Source organism: Homo sapiens, chromosome 18 (genome assembly GCF_000001405.40).
Source record: "Homo sapiens chromosome 18, GRCh38.p14 Primary Assembly".
Classification (NCBI taxonomy): Eukaryota; Metazoa; Chordata; class Mammalia; order Primates; family Hominidae; genus Homo; species Homo sapiens.
The window spans coordinates 71,558,269-71,582,510 of NC_000018.10; the positions used below are offsets into that span (position 1 = coordinate 71,558,269).

At 33.0% G+C, this 24,242-nt stretch overlaps 2 long non-coding RNA genes across 3 annotated transcripts in view; one reads left to right on the forward strand and one right to left on the reverse strand.

The window, feature by feature from the left end:
* The window catches only part of LINC01541 (long intergenic non-protein coding RNA 1541), a 58,993-nt gene extending 38,305 nt beyond the window's left edge, over positions 1 to 20,688 (reverse strand). For both annotated transcript variants that reach the window (NR_038326.1, NR_038325.1), the window contains exon 1: positions 20,539 to 20,688. This is a non-coding gene — a long non-coding RNA (long intergenic non-protein coding RNA 1541). The remainder of the gene's footprint in view (positions 1 to 20,538) is intronic.
* Positions 1 to 24,242, forward strand: part of LOC107985179 (uncharacterized) — a 191,915-nt gene that overhangs the window by 126,184 nt on the left and 41,489 nt on the right. The gene's annotated exons all lie outside the window — the stretch shown is intronic.

The window sequence follows — 24,242 nt, forward strand, 5'->3', positions numbered from 1 at the left end:
CCAGCTCTGGAGAGCAGGAATTTTAGAGCACATGCACTGATGTGAGAAACACAGTAGGGGATTAAATCCAAAACAAAGTTTGTTTTGTTTTGCTTTTCTTCGTTTTTTGACAGTTATTCCAAATAATTGTTATATAATGCTAACATTGGAGAGATAATAATAGAAACATTATGCAAAGAAAGCATCAATGGTCATTAAGTTACAAAAAGTGTTAGGAATGAAGTCTATAAAAAATGGTATGAGAGTTTTCTTGCTATTCATTTGCACTGAGTTAGTAGGCCAATAGCTAAATGTTTCACAGTCACCCTTGTATAAATCTAGTGCACTCTATTCAGGAAAAAAAAAAGAAAAAAAAAAGATAAGAGCGCGGTAGCTCGTTCAAGATATTTTCAGATTGCTTTTCCGTATTATAAACGTTTAAGTCGTGAAGTATCGTACAGAACATGTCTAGGTTTGTAATGTTACAGATGAGGAAATGGAGATGCTTAAAACTCAAGTGAATATTCAAAGATTAAGTAGTTATTATCACTCAGAATCAAAATGAATAACGGAGTCTTCTAAATTCTTTAGCCAGTGCTTTTTCATTAGGCCATAATTACCAGATGCTATGTTACCAGAGTAATAATTCACTTGATATAGGAATTGAGTTATATTTCAAAGTATATACTATGACAGAGGACACATTTATCTTGTGACTATAAAACACTATTTCTCTATATTTAAAAATGGGGGCTATCTTAGGGGCATGTATAATGTATCAGAGATCAAGAATATATTAAAATTAAACCAATAAGAAAGTACTAGTGATAATGTTAGTCTCTACATTTTCATATAGAAGCGAGTATCTTATAAGCAGTGGCAAAAAACAATTAACAGAAATGATGAGAAAAAAACTCATTTCATGTTTTCAGGGAATATATGTTTGATGTAAATTAAATTAATAAAGAAGTTGAACCATTCTATTTTATACCAAATTTCATATTTCAGGAGATGGTGTCCTATTGAGAGAAAAAAAAAGGTTTATAACTCTATTAGTTACTTCTGGCTGTTATAATAAATTATCATAAATTTAATGGTTTAAAACAACATAGATTTATTATTTTACAGTTCTAGAGGTTAGAAGTTTGGTGTGGGTAACCCTAAGCTTACCCCAATGTGTCTGCAGTCTGCATTCACTCTGAAGGCTCCAATTCTTTTCCAGGTTCTAGAGACCTCCTGCGTTCCCAGGCTTTTGGTTCCTTGCTCCATCTTCAAGCCAACTACATAAAAAACCTTCAAATCTCTCTTCCTCTCCCTTTCTCTCTCTCTCTCTCTCTCTCTCTCTGACCATGGCTCCTGATTTCATCATCACTGTTCCTTCCTTCTTAAAACACTCTTGTGGATACATTAGGCCCACCATAGATTCAAGATAATCTCCCAATCTGAAATCATTAATTACATACTTAAACCTTATTTTTTCATATAAAGCAACATATTCCAGAGATTTAGGACATGGACACTTTTGGGAGAAGGGTATAATTCAGCCTGCCATAATCTCCTATTGGATGGATATGACGACTTTTTGAAGAGAAAAACCATCTGACTTATAGTGCTTTGGTACGTTTAGAGTTTGATGTTGGGATGCCAATTCAGTTCTTCATTGCCAGTCTTACCAAAATTTCTTACACCAAAGTCCTAGTTTATTCATACATATATAATAAATAAATAAATATTTCCTTAAGTATAGCAGTTGGTTTTTTTAAGAAAAATGTGTAAAATTGACAAATCCTGAAGTAGACTAACAGAAAAAGGAGACTCAAATGACAAAATTTGAGAAATGAAAGAAGAGACGTTATAACTAACGCCTCAGAAATGTAAAGGATCAAGAGGGATTTTTATCAACAATTGTATAGTAAAAAAAAAATGAATAACCTGAGAGAATGTATAAATTTCTAGAGATATAGAACTTATCAAAACCAAATTGACAAGAAATAGCCTGAACAAACAAATAAAAATCAGGAGATTGAGCCAGTAATCCATAACCTCCCAACATAGAAAATCCCAGGACCAGTTGGCTCTACAGGCAAATTCTATCAAAACTCAAAAGCAAATGAATACCAATCTTTCTTTAACCCTTTCAGAAAAATAAAAAAAGGAAATAGTTCTAAACTCAATTTTATGAGGCTAGCACCACCTTAATACCAAAGCTAGGCAAAACACCACAAGAAAAAAGTATAGATATAGATGCAAACATTGTTAATAAAATACTAGCAAATACCACATCAAAAATATTACACACAATGACCCAGTGGAATTTATTCCTAGGATGCAAGGTTGGTTCAACATAAACAATTCAGTCAATGTGATTTACTGCCTCAACAGAAAAAAAATGGGAAATCCACACGATCATCTCAATAGAATCAGAAAATACATTTGACAAAGTTTAACACCCATTCATGATAAAAACTCTTAGCCACTTAGGTACAGAAGGAACTTACCTAAACACAAAAAGACCACATATGAAAAACATGCAGCTACCATCCCAATCAAAGTGGAAAAACTGAAAGCTTTTTCTCTAATATCCAGGAAAGGGCAAGGATGCCCACTCTCGCCACTTTATTCAGCATAGTACTGGCAGTCCTAGCCAGAGCAATCACACAAGAAAAAGAAAAAAAAAGATTCAAACAGGAAAAGAAAGTAAAATTATCTCTGTTTGCAGATTACCTGATCCTTTATGTAGAAAACCATAAAAACTCTCTTAAGAAAGAAACTGTTAGAGCTAATAAATGATCTAAGTAAAGATGTAGGATACAAAGTCAATGTTTGTATGGTTTTTTAATACAAACAAAAAAAAATTCAAAAATGAAACCAAGAAATCAATCTCATTTACAAGAGCATCAAAAAGAATAAATACTTAGATTGAAATTTAATGAAGGAAGTGAAAGATTGTCCACCAGAAACTATAAAACATTGACGGAAAACATTAAAGATGACACAAATAAATTTTTAAAATCCCACATTCATGGATTATAAAAATTAATGTATTAAAACATCCATACTACCCAAAGTTTTTTACAGATCCAATATTATGTCTTTCAAAATTCCAATGGCATTTTTCATAGAAATAGAAAAAAGAATCTTAAAATTTTTATTGAACCCTAAATGACACCGAATAGCCAAAATAATCTTGAGCAAGTAGAACTAAATTGAATATGTAATACTTCCTTATTTCAAATTACATTACAAAGACATAGTAATAAAAACAGTATGACACTGACATAATCACAGGCACATAGACAAATGAAATAGAAAAGAATACTAGAAATAAATTCACACGTATACAGTCAACTAAATTTTGACAAAGGTACCAACAATATCCAATGGAGAAGGGGTAGTTTGTCCAATAAGTGACCATGAGAAACTCAATATTCACATAAAAGAATAAAATTGGACCCTTAAGCAATACACAGAAAAACTCAAAATGTATTAAAGATTGAACATAAGATCTGACACTCCTAGAAGATAGATGAAAATCTCCTTGACATTCAGCTTGGCAATAATCTTTTGGTTATAACACCAAACACACAGGCAAAAAGGCAAAAATAAGTAGGACTACGTCAGACTAAAAAGCTTCTGCACAGCAAAGGGAACAATCAACAAAATAAAAAGGCAATCTAAACATGGAGAAAACATACTTGCAAATCATGCATCTAATAAGAAATTGATCTCCAAATATATAAGACAACTCAATAGTATAAATAAATAATCTAATTAAAAACTGGTCAAAAGGGCCAGGCACCCTGGCTCATGCCTGTAATCCCAGCACTTTGGGAGGCCAAGACGAGCGGATCACGAGGTCAAGAGATCGAGACCATCCTGGCCAACACAGTGAAACCTCATCCCTACTAAAAATACAAAAATTAGCTGGGCGTGGTGGCGTGTGCCTATAGTCCTGGCTACTCAGGAAGCTGAGGCAGGAGAATCGCTTGAACCCAGGAGGCGTAAGTTGCAGTGAGCTGAGATCACGCCACTGTACTCCAACTTGGCGACAGAGTGAGACATTGTCTCAAAAAAAAAAATCGGTTAAGAAACTTGAATAGATATTTCTTAAAGGGAGACTTACAAATAACCGACAGGTATATGAAAGCATCCTGAACATCACTATCTTCAGAGAAATTCAAATCAAAACCACAGTCACATACCATCTCACACCTGTTAGAATGGCTATTATGAAAAAGATAAGAGTTAACAAGTGTTGGCAAGATGTGGAGCAAAGGAGACCCTTGTACATTGTTGATGGAAATGTAAATTGGTACAGCCATTATGGAAAAATGTAATGAGGTTACTGAAAAAATTAAAAATAGAACTACGATATGATCCAACAATTCCACTTCTAGGTGTATATCCCAAGAAATGAAATCAGTGTCTCCAATAGATATATGTACTTCTATGTTCATTAAAGCATTATTTATAGTAGCCTGTGTTATTTAATGTATAAATGGATTAAAAAGTGATAGATAACTTATATGATATTACACATATGTCACTATATGCATATACATGGTGGAATACTACTAAGCCTTAAAATATAAGGAAATCCTGACATTTTTGACAATGTGGATGAACCTTAAGGATGATATGTTAAGTGAAATAAGCCAGACACAAAGGAAAATACTGCATGATCTCACTTACACTTGGAATCTAAAAACTCCAGGCCAGGCATGGTGGCTCATGTCTGTAATCCCAGCTCTTTGGGAGGCCAGGGTAGGCAGATCACTTGAGGTCAGGGGTTCAAGACCAGCTTGGCCAATATGATGAAACTCCACGTCCACAAAAAGTACAAAAATTATCCAGGGGTGGTGGTGCATGTCTGTAATACCAGCTACTCAGGAGGCTGAGGCAGGAGAATCACTTGAACCCAGGAAGAAGAGGTTGCAGTGAGCAGAGATTCTGCCACTGCACTCCAGCCTGGGTGACAGTGTGAGTGCGACTCTGTCTCAAATAGAATAAAATAAAATAAAATACAACTAAATAAAACTAAATCTGCAAATTCATAGAAGCAGAGAATCAAATTATAGTTACCAGGTGCCACGATTTGGGGGAAATAAAAAGATGTTTATAAAAGGAGACAAAACTTTGTCTATGTAAATTCTAGTGATCCAATGTACAGCAGGGTAACTATAGTTAATAATGCTGTTTTGTATGCCTAAAATTAGCTATGTGAGTAGACCTGAAGTATTCTCACTGCACCAAAGAAATAAATGATAACTATATAAGGTAATGGATAGGCTAATTAGTTTTACTATATTAATCATTTAACCATATATGTGTATCAAAACATCACATTGTATACCTCAAATATATATGCTTTTTATTTCATTCTTTTTTAAAAAGAAACCATCAGATTAAGAATATAGTAATCAAATCATCAGAAGACAGTTACTTGGAATCTTATGAAACAGAATTTGGTTTCAAATGGAAATTGTAATTTATTCATTCCTTTCAGGAACTCCATGAATGGGATTTTCCCTTATTTATTCTCTTTTATTAAGCTTTTAATTTTATCAACAGATCCTAAGCAAGATCTCTTTTTCTATGTATATTAGAAATGAATATAGAATATATATATCTCCTTCTTAGGCATACTGAATTATCACTGGCTGTCTTTCTTTAAATGGAATTAATTAAAATACTGTATACTAATATTTATGAAGTTACTGGGCCAAATGTGATAATCCAACATGTAAGATAGGCATTTTGTAATTACAGATATATTATTGTTTTTCCATGGAATGTGGCAACAATTTAATGAAATAGATGTATATTTTGTACTTAATCCTTACTTCAGTGCAGAAATCCTTTAGATAACAAAGACTTTAAGACATTTACATGATTTTATATACACTAGAGAGACATATGATTGCATGAAAAAAACAAGGTAAATTCCTTTATAGTGCATCCATCATTTTCTACATAATCTTACTGCAGACCAAGCAATAACTTTATTGTCTGTGCATAATTTGTGCATGGAAATAGTGCACAATTTTCATGCTTTATGGAGGATCTTACTGAATGACTTGAAGGACAGTAAAAGGAGACACAATTTTCTCCCTCCTAATTAATTTTAAAGTAAAGTATTCATCAAAATATGATACACTGGAAAAGAGAAGTATATGCACTGTCTTTTGAATTCTGATACATTTCAAGTGTAATGACCTTACAATGGAACATTAAAATTTGTCTTATATATCATGAAAATGTTGAAAGGTTGTTTTTTATCACACAATTTTTAGGATGTTATTTTAGCATGCTAAATTTTCTTATATTTAAATTCTTCTCTTTTATACAATGGGCAGATAAATGTCACATCTGTTTATAACATTTTGATAGTGATGTTCAAAGTACATTCATCCTCAGTTATGGTAATTTAAATAACTCTTTTATCTATCAAACCATTACATGAAGTTAGGGTTTATAAAAATGTTGGACTCACTGCAAATTTAACAGAAAATATGCAGGAATGTGTGAATCTAACACTGCGTCCTGAGGCAAGTGGCAATTTAATATACAATATTTGTTGCTTGAGTATGATATTCAGGAAATTCAAAACACAACAACATGTAAAGATTTTTTTCTTTTAGTGACCAATAAATTAATTTAAATAAGACATTGTTTTAAAAAAAGTTACCATTTTATGAGTATAGAAAGCGTCCAATTTCATCCATCAAATGGAAATTTCACATGCACTCATATACACACAAATGCACACCCTAGATACTCAAAAACTCTAGGAGCTCTAGTTAATTAAGGAATATTAGAAATCTGGAGAAGTCCAGTGTCTGTACATTTTGAAGATTAAAAGTAAATGAATTTTTCATTTAGATGAAAGCAAATGGGAACACACTATAATCATAAAACTCAAATCTCATTCTTGTCGATGACAATATTGTGGCAAACTCAACTCACTGGTCTCTGTCTAGTCATCAAATAATGACAGCTACATTCATTAAGAATATATCTATATTGATGAGAAATAAAATAAATGTTCATTCTATGGTAATATCTAATGAGGAAATTGATTTGAGTATATTTAATATTACAGAATTGTATTAGTCCCTTCTTGCATTGATAGAAGGAACTACCTGAGACTGTGTGATTTATTTTTAAAAAAGAGATTTAATTGGCTCATGGTTTGGCAGGCTGTACAGGTAGGTTGGCTGGGGAGGCCTCAGGGAACTTACAATCACGGTGGAAGGTGAAGGGGAAGCAAGCATGTTTTCACATTGTGGAGCAGGAGAGAGAGAGCAAAGGGAGAAGTGCTACAAACTTTGAAACAATGGGGTCTCCTGAGAACTAACTCACTATCAGGAGAACAACAAGGGGGAAGTCAACCCCTATGATCCAGTCACCTCCTGCCAGTCCCCTCCTCAAACACTGAAGGCTACAATTCAACACGAGATTTGGGTGGGGGACATAGAACCAAACCATATCAGGGATTATTGGCAAGGTTAAATGTAATGATACCTCACAGGCACTTGAAAATATGGGACAAGAGTTTAGAAATAAGGTCAAGAGTCTGGATTAAATTTTAGAGATATGCTCATAGAGGCAATTCAACATATTACGTAATTAAATGTTTTTACCAAGGTGGTGAGTGTATATAGCAGTAATTTTCAATCTATGGGGTACATAAGAATCACTGATTGTATGTTAGAATCTGTGCTACAGCTTCAGGCTTTTGGATCAGGTAGATCTGGGTGAAGCCTAGGCAATCTACAAGTGCCGAAATCTCCCTAACTTGTTCTAAAGGAGATAATCTGTAGGATTTACTATAAGGAAATTGCTAGAGAGTGATGAATACCAAATACAGCTGTATCTTTTAGATGTAACTATGTTTAAAGAGAAAGAGTGAAAAGAAGTGTGGGAGAAGGGATTAGAGAAGAAAACATTAAAATTACTTAAGGAAAATCACAGTCGAAGAGCTATAAAAGCTAAGAAAAGAAGAGTTTAATAAATCTGTGTCGAGAAGAAGAGTTGGAAGTCTGTTTGATAGGAAGGACCTAAAGGGTAAAGCATGTTTAGAAGGAGCAAAGGAGTGTGAGCACTGCATACATGGGAAGTAATGAAATCATCTTTTGATACGAGTAGTCTGAACTTAGTTCTGAAACATGAAATGACATTTATCTGACCTTTTACAAGATACAAAAAATGTCAGTTGGAGGGACTATTTTCAGAGTTTAAAAAAGTAGTGATCTTATACAGTATAGTATCTTTGAAATGATCTTAAAATGTTAGTATTTCTTTTCTTTACGTACTGGTTTCTGACTAGCTGGATGTCTCTTTTCATTTATAATTCTTTCAGCTGATGTGTTATGATTGTGCTTAAGTAATATTTCATTTTTCTGTTGGGTATATACTTACATTAAAATTGGAAATATTTTCTTTGTTCCTTTTGCGGTTGAATTTAGATAATTTGGAATTTTTTTACATTTTTCTATATGTCAAATATTTGTTATGTGAATGTAGATGATGAACATCATTTATTCATGGTTAGAATATTCCCATGTTTAATAGAAATATGGAGTTTTTTATTTAAAGTCCTTAACAATAAGTAGATAGCCAGACGTGGTGGCGTGCACCTGTAGTCCCAGCTACTTGCTACTTGGGAGTTTTGAGGCAGGGGAATCCCTTGAACCCAGGAGGCGGAGGTTGCAGTGAGCCGAGATCGTGTCACTGCACTCCAGACTGGCAACAGAGCGAGACCCTGTTGTACTTAAAATAAGTAAGTAGATAAGGTACTGCAAATGTGTGAAACAACTACCCTTGGCATTCGTATGACTGTGTTTTTGTCCTTATACAGCTTTTCTTACCGAACATGACGAAAGAACAACTATAAATTACCTAATAGAGATGTTTGTTTTTTATTGAAACCACTGGGGCTGGCCTGTTTAATAAAAATAATATGAGGACTATATATTCCAAACAGAAGCAAAACAAAAAGCTTGATGAGTACACATGCCCTAAAAGAGCTAATGTGACAAACAATGTATATTTTTCATTTGTCTTTTGCCCAGAGATAGGAGAGCAATAGTTTTTGGTCATGATTCTACCTACTTTGTTTTTTACTTGTTACATATCTAGCACAATTTGTTACATGTAGAACAAGAGTTATATCTAAAACATGTCTTCCATATATTACTATAAAAATGAGGGACTCCACGGAGGTTGCAGTGAGCCGAGATTGCTCCACTGCACTCCAGCCTGGCCACAGAGTGAGACTCCGTCTCAAAAAGAAAAAAAAAAATGAGGGACTCCAACATCTATATATATTTTATGTATTCCTTCCTTCTGTTTAATATTGTATGTTTTAAAGTTAGGATACATGTTAATATTGTATTCATAACAATTTCAGCAATTGAATATGCACACAATAGCAATCCATATCAATAGCTCACATGTATTAGTTAATATTTAAAGACACTGTTATGTATTTCATAGACATCAATTAATTATTATACTAAAACATGTCTGTGAAGTAGGTATTATTCTCACTTCACGAATGAAAAAAATGGGGATTTGATAACTTAAAAAAAAAGTTCAAGGTTTCCACCTCATAAGTGGAATAGCTAAGGTACAAACATAAATCTATTAAATTAGAGAGTTTATTGTCATGAAATTCTGTCTCCAATAATGTTATAGCAATATGTACTGGATTGGTGTTCAGGGAATAATATGAAGAAAACTGCAAATGGTGTACATGATGTGATACAACTATTTAGTGCTAGGCACAGTGTAAGTCACTGAGAGGCAGCTTTGTGAAACTGAATGAATTATTTCTTCACAAGTGATACTGAACCAACTTGGCCTACCTTTCTTCACCAAAAACAAAGAAACAAACAAAAAAAGGAAAACTTCAAAGATTACACAGATGAATCCTATTATAAATAATAAGGTAAAGTGGGGAACCAGTGTTTATGTATGAGCAAAGTATAAGTTATTGAATTAAATAATATATATGTTATAATATATATGAATATATATATATTATATATTCATATAATATATGTTATAACATATATGTATATATAATATACATATATAATATATATGTATAATAATATATATGTTATAACATGTATAATAATATATATGTTATAACATGTATAATATATATGTTATAACATGTATAATAATATATATGTTATAACATGTATAATAATATATATGTTATAACATGTATAATAATATATGTTATAACATGTATAATAATATATATGTTATAACATGCATAATAATATATATGTTATAACATGTATAATATATATGTTATAACATGCATAATAATATATATGTTAATATATATAAATTAAATAATATATGTTATTATATATGTTATATAATTCTATATGAATTAAATAATATATACTATGTATTATTGCATTAAATAATATATATTATATATGTTATATATTATATGTTACATATATAATATATATTATATATGTAACATATAATATATATGTTACATATATATGTTACATATATAATATATATGTTACATATAATATATATTATTACATGTATATATTATATTTGTTATGTATAATAATATATAATACATAGGTATGTTTACATGCATATGAATGCATACATACACACACATACAGAATGCAAAATACATCCAAAAATAGATACAAATATCTCAATTCCAGATGATAGAAAAATATCTAAACCTCAGATGTGTTAAGTTACTTGGAGCCAGCATTTGGGTGAACTGATGGTGAATGGAAGGCAGGTAGGAGTTGTGGGTGCAGCACCTTCAAATCTTGCACGTAAATGCAGTGTTAAAATATTTTATGGAGTAATAGACTTGTATTTCACATTTTCACACTATTTATAATTTGTGTAATGTAAACTTTTCTTTTTTCCATAAGCAAAAATTATTTAAGCTTGCTGTTTACTATATAAAATTATGTGTTGAATGTTTGTTTACTTGTGATTGTGTGTTTTTCAACTGCATATCTAATCTCACAAAAATTAAAACAGCTTTGAGATCAAATAAAAATTCTGGCTTTCAAATGGCACTACCTTTGGGTATTGGTGTATTAAGGGAAAATAACATTGAACTATTTTTTATGAAAAAAAGAAAAATAGCAATTTAATAATGAATGTGGACTTTTTTTGTAGTTTCCTAGTGAGAATTCAGACAGTGGAAATGATAATAGAAAATCACCCTTTGACCTGAATCATGCTAGGAAAAAAAATGATTAGAAAATATTTTCTCATGTTATTTCCACAGTATTAATTTCATTAATCAATACACTATACTAAATTTTTAGTAATGACACTGGATGTTTTAGGAAAATAATAAGAGGGTGATGCTTTTCTAACATTTTTCTGAACATAAAAATAAAAACATGATGTTTATAGAAGTAAGAGAATTAAAATGTTTATAATAGCAAAATAAATTTAAAAATGTGTAATTTCTAAAATCACTTTATTTTTTTACAAATATTTACTTTAAATAATGTATTGTAGTAAAAAAAAATTACCCTTAGAATATATGTGCGTGTGTGTTTGTGTATTTATACACACTTTCGTCAGTAATGAATGGGACAGGCACCACAATATCAAAGGTATGTAGTGATGCTACAGTTTATTCAATTTTGCTAGGGTCCCATAACACTTTTAATAATATTATCATAGACAAAAGTTGACACTGCATTTAAAGTTAAAAGCAAATGCCATCCACATACTTGAACAAATGAAATAATTTAATTCCTATAAAATTACTCCTATTCGAGTACATTCTAAAGTTTGGATCATTAGAGAAACAGGGAAGGAAGGTTATTAAATACACAACTTCATGAACTGACAAAAGAAAATGATACGAAGTTATTTGCAATGTTTTAAATTTTAGAGTCAGATTTTCCAAATCATTCTGATGATTTCATTGATTTAAAAAGTTGGGATTTTTTCTTATTGATAAAATTATGTCAATTTTAACACATCTTGTGTTATTGTGTATGTGACATAAATCAAAGGAAAGGATTCAAGTGCCTAACAGGAAAAAAGAAGAATATTAGAAGTCATAAAACAAGTTCTACTCACAGCTCTGCTATTGTTTAATAGATCATCTGGAATAAATCTTTAATCATTCTTTATTATTTTGCATTGCTGGGTGATTGAATGAAGGTACAGAACTAGAGGTCCTCTCTAGTCTAGTCCTTCCTATGTCTCAGTACTACAAATCTATATCGTCACAGCTGGCTCATGATAACTAGAAGTTAGAACCCAGTTATTTGAAATCTTAATGAAAATTGAAATAGGATTATTGTAAGCACTCTATTTCTCCTTACTAACTGGCATAGAAAAATAATGAATTATTGTCAAAAATAATAAAGTTGCCTACAAATATTACATAGGAATGTAACTGCTGGGGGTTTCTCTTACTGCTATAAATTAACTGAAATAAATGTTACATGCCAAAAGATATTCACTAAAACTTTATTGATAAGAGCCAAACAAGGAACTTGTATGGCTCTAAAAATCCAGTGATATGAATGGGTTTTAATGAATTAGGGTACTTCAGAATGTATTTTGTTACCATTAAAATAGTTAAAACTCTATATTAACAAACACATTGAATGACAATGTACTAAGTGACAAAATCAAAATATAAGATGATAATTGTACAATGATAAACCTTTAAAATATATAAAAGAGGAATCAATATATTCCACATTAAATATTTAAACAGTAAAAATCCAGAACATCTTAGGAAATGGAAAATTTTGATACTGTATATAGTAGATATGAAAATCCTAATATGTATAAATTAAACAATTGCATATTTTAGATCACAAGACTTTGAAATTAAAAAAGGAATTACCAAATTATGACATACTGCACAGATGTATATCACAGTCTACCGCCTAGCGTTCTTTCAACTATTGTATCTTTCGTAGCCTTTCTTTCTAAAGTCACCTCACATATAACCCATACTAATATAAACTGTTTTATTCACTAAAACCAGGATAATGTAGACTTATGGTCATAGTAAGAAAAAATACCAATTTTACTCATCTGTGAAATTATTTAGTCATCACAAAATTCTCTAAATTTTGTTATTATGAGTAACTTGAGATTTGTGTGTGTACATGTATTTATTTTGTATTATATATGCATATGTTTATAAATGCATTTTAAATTTTATGTAGCCTATTTTTCCATGTTCTATATGCTATATGTACATATTTGATAGACAACTAATGTATTAATATTATATAAAATAAAATTCTCTATATTTCTATAACCCCTCTCTGTTTTTCTCTATGCATTATAAATACATTCTATAAAGTGTATTTGTGTTTATGTATATTCCCATTAATAAACATTTACTTAAAATCCTGTTTAATCCATTTAAGCCCTTTTGGTAGTCGTGATAGATACCATTGATGTTCACATTTTAAAGGCATGACAATTATGCCTCAAATATTCTTAGATTTCTTAGGCTCATGCTGTTAATAGGAACCAATACTTGTATCAGTGTGTGTCTAGCTCAGGACAATAACCCATTACACTTTATTCTTCTTTGCAGTGAGGCCCCTTAACAGTGCTGCCTCAAGGAGGTAATTCTTCCAAAGTATCTCTTACATATGAGGTTGTGCCATTGACTATATAAAATAAGGATATGAGATAAAGAAATATTGCCAGTAGCCACATCTGATTTTATCAATCTGTTATTTAAGATTTAAAGTTAACATATTATTTTAGAATGGTGTTTTCACATATTTTATACAAATATGTATTCTTGTTCAAATTGACTCTTACATACATTTTATTCCTTTTGGGGTTTTCATTTTATGATTATTATTTGTTTTTAAAATGTAGTCTCAAAAATAAGATGGCCTTTAGATTTCTAGCATAGGTAAATACATGAATTGAGTACATTTGATAAATTCCAATCAGGTTTCTGACATACTTAAATTAGATAATCACACCTCATGTCTAATATACTAAATTCTAGGAATTAAAAAATATATACACTAGATGTGTGTATATTTGATCTTTTTAAAATTTTTTTATTATCATTAGATAATATTAAAACAGAGATGAGAAATAATGCATGGCCAAGAGGAAAATACTATATTGAGTATGTGGAAAAAATGGACAAATGTTTAAAATTGCAGGATATTAATTGAGTAGTATGAAAACCACAAACATACGTACAGGCTTCTTTTGCATAATAAGTTTAGAACATAATGGAGACATATGTTTCCTATAGGATGTGCTCACCTGCGCTCGAGTGTATACAATGTGCAAATGTTCTCAAAGTATTTGTTTGCTTAATCATTTTCTTCTTAAATTAGCCTATGAGTTTGGGAAAGTGCATTCACTTTGTTAAATTTTATTTTAAATATTTGCATTAGAAGATGACATTTAAAGTCATCCTGCAGAAAACTAATGTATGTTTCAGTTTATGAAAAAATTATATTTTGAAAATTATATCCCTAAACAAAAAAAATAGGAAAATTTTTCAACTATTTCATATCTCTTTGCTCATCTTACTAATTTAAAGTAATAATTGTGGTCTCATTTAAAGATCACGTAGAAAATATAAGCTAGGAAATAAGAAAGATATATTTAAAATTCCATGTTAAAAATCTATACCACTCTAGCAGCATGTAAAATTATGTGTTTTTAAACAGAAAATTTCTTTAAAATGCACAGACATGTACCTACATGCATATATATATTTTGGGAGCAAGCCCCTGAAAATCTGGCCATAAACTGGCCCCAAAACTGGCCATAAACAACATCTCTGCAGCACTGTGACATGTTCATGATGGCCATAACGCCCAAGCTGGAAGTTTGTGGGTTTACTGGAATGAGGGCAAGGAACACCTGGCCCGCCCAGGGTGGAAAACCGCTTAAAGGCAATATTAAGCCACAAACAATAGCTTGAACGATTTATGCCTTAAGGGCGTGTTGCTACTGCAGTTAACTAGCCCAACCTATTCATTTAATTCGGCCCATCCCTTCGTTTCCCATAAGGGATACTTTTAGTTAATTTAATATCTATAGAAACAATGCTAATAACTGGTTTGCTGTTAATAAATATGTGGGTAAATCTCTGTTCTGGCTCTCAGCTCCAAAGGCTGTGAGACCCCTGATTTCCCACTTCACACTTCTATATTTCTGTGTGTGTGTTTTTAATTCCTCTAGCACCCCTGGGTTAGGGTCTCCCCAGCTGAGCTGTTCTCGGCATATGTACACGTGTGATATGATACAAATATCCAATAATGCATTTTAATAAATAATGATATAGGTACAGAGATTCAGATAAGATGGAGAGAACTGGAAACATATAGATAGATACAGGTATAGATGGAAAGAGAAGATAGAGCCACAGAGACAGAGGTGGAAAGAGTGTGTTTATGCACTTTCTAAAAGATGACTTTGCAAGATTGATGTTTTGAAGGGTATCTCGAGGTTTTCTTCTAGAATTTATATAGCTTAAGGTTTCACATTTAATCTTTAATCCATTTTGAGTTAACTTTTGTATATAGTGAAAGATAAGGGTCTAACTTCATTCTTCTGCAAATGGCTAGACAGTTATCCCAGCACCATTTATTGAATAGGGAGTCATTTTCCCATTGCTTGGTTTTGTTGCCCTGGTCAAAGGGCAGATCATTGTAGGTGTGCAGCTTTATTTCTGAGTTTTCTATTCTGTTCCATTGTTTTTGAACTTGTACCATGCTCTTTTTGTTACTGTAGCCTTATGGTGTAGTTTGAATTCCAGTAGTGAGATGCCTCCAGCTTTGTTCTTTTTGCTTATGATTTCATTGGCTACTCAGGCTCCTTTTTTGTTCCACATGAATTTTATATTAGTTTTTTCTAATTCATGGAAGAATGACATTGGTAGTTTTGATAGAAATAATGTTGAATACGTAAATTGCTTTGGGGAGAATGGCCATTTTATTATTAATTCTTCTAATCCATGAGCATGTGATGTTTTTCCATTTATTTCTGTTATCTTTGATTTATTTCAGCAGTGTTTTCCTTGTAGATATTTTTCACCTCCTCTGTTACCAGTATTCCTAGGTATTTCATTTTCTTTGTGGCTATTATAAATAATCCTAAGCAAATTAATGCAAGGAACAGAAAACCAAATACCACGTGTTCTCACTTATAAGTGGGAGGTGAACATTGAGTACATATGGTCATAAATATGGAAACAATAGACACTGCGAACTACTAAAGGATGGAGCTAGGAAGAGGGGTGGGGGTGGAAAAACTACCTGTTGGGTACTGTATTGGTCCATTCTCACATCGCTATAAAGATACTACCTGAGACCGGGTAATTTATAAAGAAAAGAGGTTTAATTGACTCACAGTTCTACATGGCTTGGGAGGCCTCAGGAAACTTACAATCATAGTGGAAGACGAAGGGGAAGCAAGGACCTTCTTCACATGGCAGCAGGAGAGAGAAACAAGGAGCAAAAGAGGAAGACCCCTTATAAAACCATCAGCACTCGTGAGAACTCACTCACTATCATGAGAACAGCATGAGGGAAACTGTTCCCATGATCCAATCACCTCCCACCGGATCCCTCCCTTGACACACTGGGGTTATGAGAATTACAATTCAAGATGAGATTTGGGGTAGGGACACAGCCAAACCATATCACTCTGCCCCAGCCCCTCCCAAATCTCATGTCCTCATGTTTCAAAACACAATTATGCCTTCCCAACAGTTCTCCAAAGTCTTAACTCATTCCAGCCCAAAGGTCTAAGTCACAAGTCTCATCTAAAACAAGGCAAGTCCCTTCTACCTATGAGCCTGTGTATTATTCTGTTTTCACATGCTGAGATAGACATCCCAGAGACTGGTCCATTTACAAAAGAAAGAGGTTTAATTGGACTTACAGTTCCACATGCCTGGGGAAGCCTCACAGTCATGGCAGAAGACAAGGAGGAGCAAGTCATGTCTTACATGGATGGCAGCAGGCAAAGAGAGAGATTGGGCAGGGAAACTCCCCTTTATAATACCAGCAGCTCTCATGAGACTTATTCACTATCACAAGAACAGCATGGGAAAGACCTGCCCCCATGATTCAATTACCTCCCACCAGGTCCCTCCCACAACACATGGGAATTCAAGATGGGATTTTGGTGGGCACACAGCCAAACCACATCGGCCTGCAAAATTAAAAGCAAATTAGTTACTTCCAAGATACAATGGGTATACAGGCACTGGATAAATGCTCCCATTCCAAATAAAAGAAATTGGCCAAACCTAAGGGACTACAGGCCCCCTGAAAGTCCAAAATCCAGCAGGGCAGTCATTAAGTCTTAAAGCTATTAAATAATCTTCTTTGAATCCGTGTCTCATATACAAGCAGTGTTGATGCAAAGTGGTGGGCTCTCATGGTCTTGGATAGTTCCACCCCTGTGGCTTTGCAGGTTACACTCCCCCTCCCAGCTGCCTTCACAGGCTGGCATTGTGTGTCTGTGGCTTTTCCAGGCACACAGTGCAAACTGTCAATGGATCTAGCATTCTGGGGTCTGGAGGGCTGTGGCCTTCATCTCACAGCTCCACTAGGCAGTACCCCAGTGGGGGCTGTGTGAGGGCTCTGACCCCACATTTCCCTTACACACTGTTCTAGCAGAGGTTCTCCAGGAAGAGTACTATGCTCACTACCTGGGTCCAATTTGCCCATGTTACAATTCTATACATGTACCCCCTGTATCTAAATTATAAGCTAAAATTTAAAAATCCTTTATCAAATGCTTTTGGTACATAATCAAGTATAGCATACTATATATCATCTAGGAATATTGCATGTTATATACATTTTGTTAAAGATTATTTATATTCCTATGAATTATATCTTTATTTTGTCATTTATGGCCTGAAAAACACACTGGACCAATTTAACTAAAAATTGTAAATTGTGGCCATTTGTGTTTCTATGAGTATGCAACACATGAACATGTATATCCATGCACACAATACATAATAAAGGTGATTTTTGTTTCATGTAAAATAAAAAGGATGATCTATACCATATTTTAGGGAAGTTGAGTTCAATTAAGAAAAACATGCCTATAACTAAAGAAGCTTTCTATGATGTACAATTGAGATATGTGTATTTTTAGCTAAATTGACAATAAATTAAACATCAAAGGCATGAGAACTCTGATTATCAAATAAGAATTAATCTATACATCTAACAAGTAAACAAACGATACATCTTAATACATTGTGAAAACATTCCTTAAATAGCTAAATTCTGGTATTAGAACAGTAATGTTTACTGTATCTTTTGCTGGAACTGGATTTATGTTTGCTTTCAACACTGCAAAAATGTAGATCAATATTGCTAATAAATCTTTAAATGCTTTTTAACCTTACAAGCTCTTTATAATCTGAAGGATAATCAATAAACACGGCAGTAAAATGGTTTGTGATTCATCTTTTAAGGCAGTGTTACTCTATGACATAATGCCAATAACTCTGCATGTGAATGCCAAGATCAATTTTGCATCTGATACATTATTTGAACAGAGAAGGCAGTACAAAATAATCACTTTTATTTACAAATTTACCAGATTAACCTTAATCAATATAATACTTAGCTAATTATTTTATCTGCATTATACTAAAAGAAAAAATAATTTTATTACACTATGATTTTTTTCTCTTGAGACATTACTAATCACCAGGATGTGCCTAGCTGATACCAAATCAATTATGAATCCTTTATTCACATACAATATGGCAAATCATACACTGTACCTGACTCAATTTTTAGAAGAGAGCTTTTATTTTTCATACCCAAGAGAAAACAAAAAGTAAACCAAGGATTTTTTTTAGCATCTTTCTCATGAGCAAACATTTTATATTACTTTAAAAAACTTCCTTAGGCTGGGCGCAGTGGCTCACACCTGTAATCCCAGCACTTTGGGAGGCCAAGGCGGGCAGATCACGAGGTCAGGAGATCGAGACCATCCTGGTTAACACGGTGAAACCCCGTCCTACTACAAATACAAAAAATTAGCCGGGTGTGGTGGTAGGCGCCTGTAGTCCCAGCTACTGAGCCGAGATCAGGCCACTGCACTCCAGTCTGAGAGACAGAGTGAGACTCCATCTCAAAAAAAAAAAAAAAAAAAAAAAAAAAACTTTTTTAAACTTAATTTTTATAGTATATTCAAGTATACTGATTTATATGAAATATATAACTGTATCTCATAATAGATACATTGAGGCAAATAATAGGTATGATTTTATAGGTTGGTGCAAAAGTAATTGTGATTTTGCCATTAAAAGTAATTAAAAGTAATGGCAAAACCGCAATTTTGCACCAATTTATATTGTATATTTCTAATATAGCAATAATTAGGAGGAGTCAAGAGATTATATTCATTTTTATTATTTCCCAAATGATAAGATTTCATAAATTCTTATAAAGAATGAATCTTAAGGTATGTAAAGAAAAACATTTGTAAAAGCAAGTTCAAAATGAATTTCAGCAGATTATGTGTTACCATCATGAATAAATGTCCTCTACCACCAAACAAACAAACAAACAAAATAAAACAAAACGAAAAAACATTTAAGAGGATGGAGAATCACAGGATGACATGCAAACTGTAAAAACCATCAAACTTTATTACAGTATATGAAATGCCCCCCTTGTAAGAGGTGGGGGGCGAAGTTGTTGACCTAAATAACTTGGAAAACGATGGAGTTCGTAAGACTGAAAGGAAAGGGAATTGTAAATAGAAACGTCTCCAGTAGGTAAAGTTGTTTCCTGAAGGAATATGTGTTAATTCTGATACCATGCACATTCATGCTGAAATTTTAAAAATAAAGTAAATGAATGTCAGAAGGTGGGAGTCAAGATTTATTTTTATAGTGGGAGGTTACAGACAAGCAGAAGAAGAAAGTAAAGGATTATATTTGAAGATATCAGCATGAACTCATATTACTTAATACAGCTAAACACCACTGTTCTGTGCGGGAAACGCATGAGGGGAGAAGAAAAGACACACACACAATACCTTTAAGGGTAAACAAGTTTTATCCCATGTAAATGGCAATGCAGATATAATAAGCAAATGATATAATAATAAGAAAATTGATATAATCAGCAGAGTGATAGAATAAGCAAATTGCAATGAGAAGGGAAGAAGAAAAAGAAATATATATGTAAGAGAAAAGAATATATATATATGAAATATAAATATATATAAGAAATATATATGTAAGAAATATAAATATATATATTATATATAAGAAATATATATAATATAAATAAGAAATATAAATATATATTATATATATTATATATAAGAAATATAAATATATGTAATATATATTATATATATAAGAAATATAAATATATATAATATATATATTATATATAAGAAATATTAATATATATTATATATAAGAAATATAAATATATATAATATATATAAGAAAAAAGAGAAATATATGTGTGTGTGTGTGTATGTGTATATATATATATATATGTGCATCCTCCTTACCAGACAATGGAGGACTCACCACCAGACCGGGAAGCAACAGCCTGGGCTCCAGAGTCGGCTGGACACTCTGTGTCCGGCTCCTCTTTCGTGCACAGACGAGGAGAGGTCTCATGAAGCTTCAGCACAGTCTGGGATCCTGGCTCTTTCTGTAACAAGTTGTTGTGCATGAGGCCCGGTCACGAGGGCCCTTCACTACTGGGCTCAAGGAACACAAATAGGTCAACTTGTTTTTGTGATTGTCTATTGTTTTTCAATAACTAACATATAGGAATAGATTGAAATAGAGATTTCTCTGAAACAGAGCTGGATGAACGCCTCAAGGGGCTCACACAACCTGTTCTGGGACTTGGTGATCATTGTTTGTGTCCATGTTCAATTGAGTTCAGATTTAATATTTAACTTTTCCTCCACAACCACACATGACTGTACTAGGACCATGCAACTAATAATTCCTATTAAAGAAAAACAATACGCAGTAGGGGAAACAAAACAACTGACAAAAATATAAGGAAAGACTGATTTCCTTTGTTATACAAGCTGAAGAGAATTGCAGAATACCAGGCAAATGAGTGGGAAAAGTATACACATGGCTTTTTGAAAACAAAATTATAGTACAAAGATAATAAGAATTTTGTAAAAGTTATCTATGAATTGGAATAAGGGAAAATACTGAAATGTAAATTTCAAAATCTTAAACAAGAAAGTGTACATAGGTTAATTGTTCTAATATTCACTGGGTCCAGATGTACTGTACTGAGATAACAAGAGTAACAAAATATTACTTGAAGATTTTAGCTATCTGAGAGGTTAGTCAAAATAAATAATTCAATAATTGGGAATCATAAATTTTATTTTATTTTATTTGAAATGGAGTCTCACTCTGTCACCCAGGCTGGAGTATAGATGCTGGATCTGGGCTCACTGCAACGTCTGCCTCAGAAGTTCAAGGGATCCTCCCACCTCAGCCTCCTGAGTAGCTAGGATTACAGGTGCCCACCACCACACCTGGCTAATTTTTATACTTCTAGTAGAGACGGGGTTTCACCACGTTGGCCAAGCTGGTCTGGAACTCCTGATCACAAGTGATCCATCTGTCTCTGCCTCCCAAAGTTCTGGGATTACTGGCTGAGCCACCATGCCTGGCGGGGAGTTGTAAATTTTCAAAGGTCATGTACTTGTAATCTTGAAGATTAATTTAATGGATGTTATGGGTTAAGTATAATGCAAATAATAAAATATTTTTGTAACATTTGGTTTCTTCCAAAATAAAAAAAAAACAGATGGAATATTACTCAATACTCTGTTATTTTCCTATCATTTAATTTTTTAATGAATAAATGCTATATTAAGTTGTAATTTCCCTTCTTCCCTAGGAAATAATAGGGAAATACACACACTCGTAATGAGCCTTTTTAGAAACCTGATACTTCCTTTTCCTTATATGGAAAATAGACTTCCTACTCTTATCCAAATTACAGTTTAGTGTGAAAACTGGACAACATATAAATTCCAGTAAAATTACATAGTATACGAATTGCCAAAAATATTGAAAACTACGTAATATGATGGGTTTGAGATAATGGAGATTTTTTCAATGCCACTCTTTTCATAGTTTTCAGAGTCACAATACACCAACAAGGCTTTCAGATACATTGGTGGTATGCCTGCATTGTGTATTAGTCTTTAAAAGGTTGGTTATTTAGCCTGGGAAATGCTATGTGTACATTTACCTGTACACATAGCAAGCATGCTTTTAAGGGCTATTCCCATTAAGTAATCTATTTCTGAAATCACTTCAAGACTCTTCTTGATGCCCAAATTTTGCATTTCTCCTGTGTTACGAGAACAGCATGCTTGATTTTCACGTGAATCTTAGCCTCACTTTAAACTTGACCTTACGTAGTGACAATTTAAGGATCCCTTACTCATTTTGGAATACATTATCAAGTTATATTTTTGAATCGTCTGACATTGACCAAAATTTTGTCTCAATTGTAATAGCTTCCTTATTCCTGAAATCCTGCATGCAGTTTGTGTGTCAGGATAAGGAGGATGCACTTTGTTTGAAAGTCCATCTCTCTGGTCTTTCATGCAGCATACTTATGCATGACTTTGCTATTTCCTTTTCCTTCCATGAAAACTCTTTAACAGAAACATATATGTGTGTGTGTATGTGTAGTATTGACTGCCGTAGACTTACGTATGAATTGTTAATATTAATTAGAATTATTTCTAGTATCATCTTGGTATCTCTTCATCCACATTACCCAAGTGTTAACTCAGGAAGGGATGTAATCCCACATCCCACCCCTTTTAATGCACCTCCTCGTGTTTTAGGTACGGTATTCAGATATTAGAGTCTCTTTACATCTAGTCCAAGAGTTGCTGTTGCTGCATTTTTGCTTTGAGTTAGTGCTTTTGACTGCAAGTATTAGAAAGCCAACAAAATTACTTAAGGAATCAGAGAATGCCTTATTATATCCTGGCAGAATAGTAGAGGTCAGAACTGACTCATTTTCATAGCTCAATGATAACAATACTCAGATTATTTTTAGTCTTTCAGCTATGTTTTTCTCTCCTTTGTTGGCAGTGTTCTCAGTATAAATTTTCTTGAGTTGACAAGATGGCTAAATGGTTACAGTGGTTCAGGCATCCTATTCAAATAGATAAGAGATTACCCACTGCCCTCTTTCTGTCTCCCTTCCTAATCTTAACAGTTGGAAAGTCACTTTCATAAACACCAGCAGACCTGTCTCACTGACCAGGATTGTCCCGTATGCCTTGACCTTAAGAAATCATGACCTGGAACAGTGCAAGTACCTTAAAAGGCTTAGACCAGCCAGTATCTAATTTCCACGGATTGAGTAAAGTTCAGCTTTCCTGTAAGTGTACAGCTTCATAGAGAATGATGGATAGCTGAAGAAATCTCTGCTGGTGTTGAAGATAAGGAATGAAGGAGATGGGGTTTAAACTTGAGTGTCAAATATTAACAGGTTCAATGTGTAGAGTCTACTACAGTACATGCTAAACATCCACTCCTTCCCTTTTTCTCATTAATAAAGCTTATACCTGTAGATAATGCACTCACTCATCTGGAATGTGAGAAAAGCTTCATCTTTCTAGTGTATCTATGTCCAATTTCAGGAACTCTGGTTTATGCTCAAGTCTTTCTCATTACATCTTGATACAGGTATCCACTAGATAACCAACACAGAGAAAAGAGAATACGAAAACTCTGACAAGTTCCAAAATAGTCGACTTAAAAAAAAAAAAACTCTCTCTATAGCTAATTTTTGCAATTACTTTTATCAAAAGTTGGAGTCTATTTCTTCAGCTCTCAAAAATGTACTGCCCATGTAACTTGCTTTGACCAAAAGGAAACTGCAGGCTTTTGGACATTTTGTATGCTAACCCAGAGCCTCAAGAAAGTAGGCACATCTCTGATCTATCTTGTAACCGCGACTTGAAAAGCCCAGATGACCTTATGGAAGAGGAAACATCACAGAGAAGAGAATCCAGTTGACCTAGCTGTCAAGCTGTCAACATGCCAGAACTGTCTACAGTCAGATGATCACCCTGCCCCCCACCAAATATTTGAAAGAGTACATCCTAGGACAGGGGTTGGCAATTTAAGTTTACATTTGTAAAGTGTCGGTAAAAAATAAAGAAGAATGTGCAATAGGAACCCATACATGACATACAAA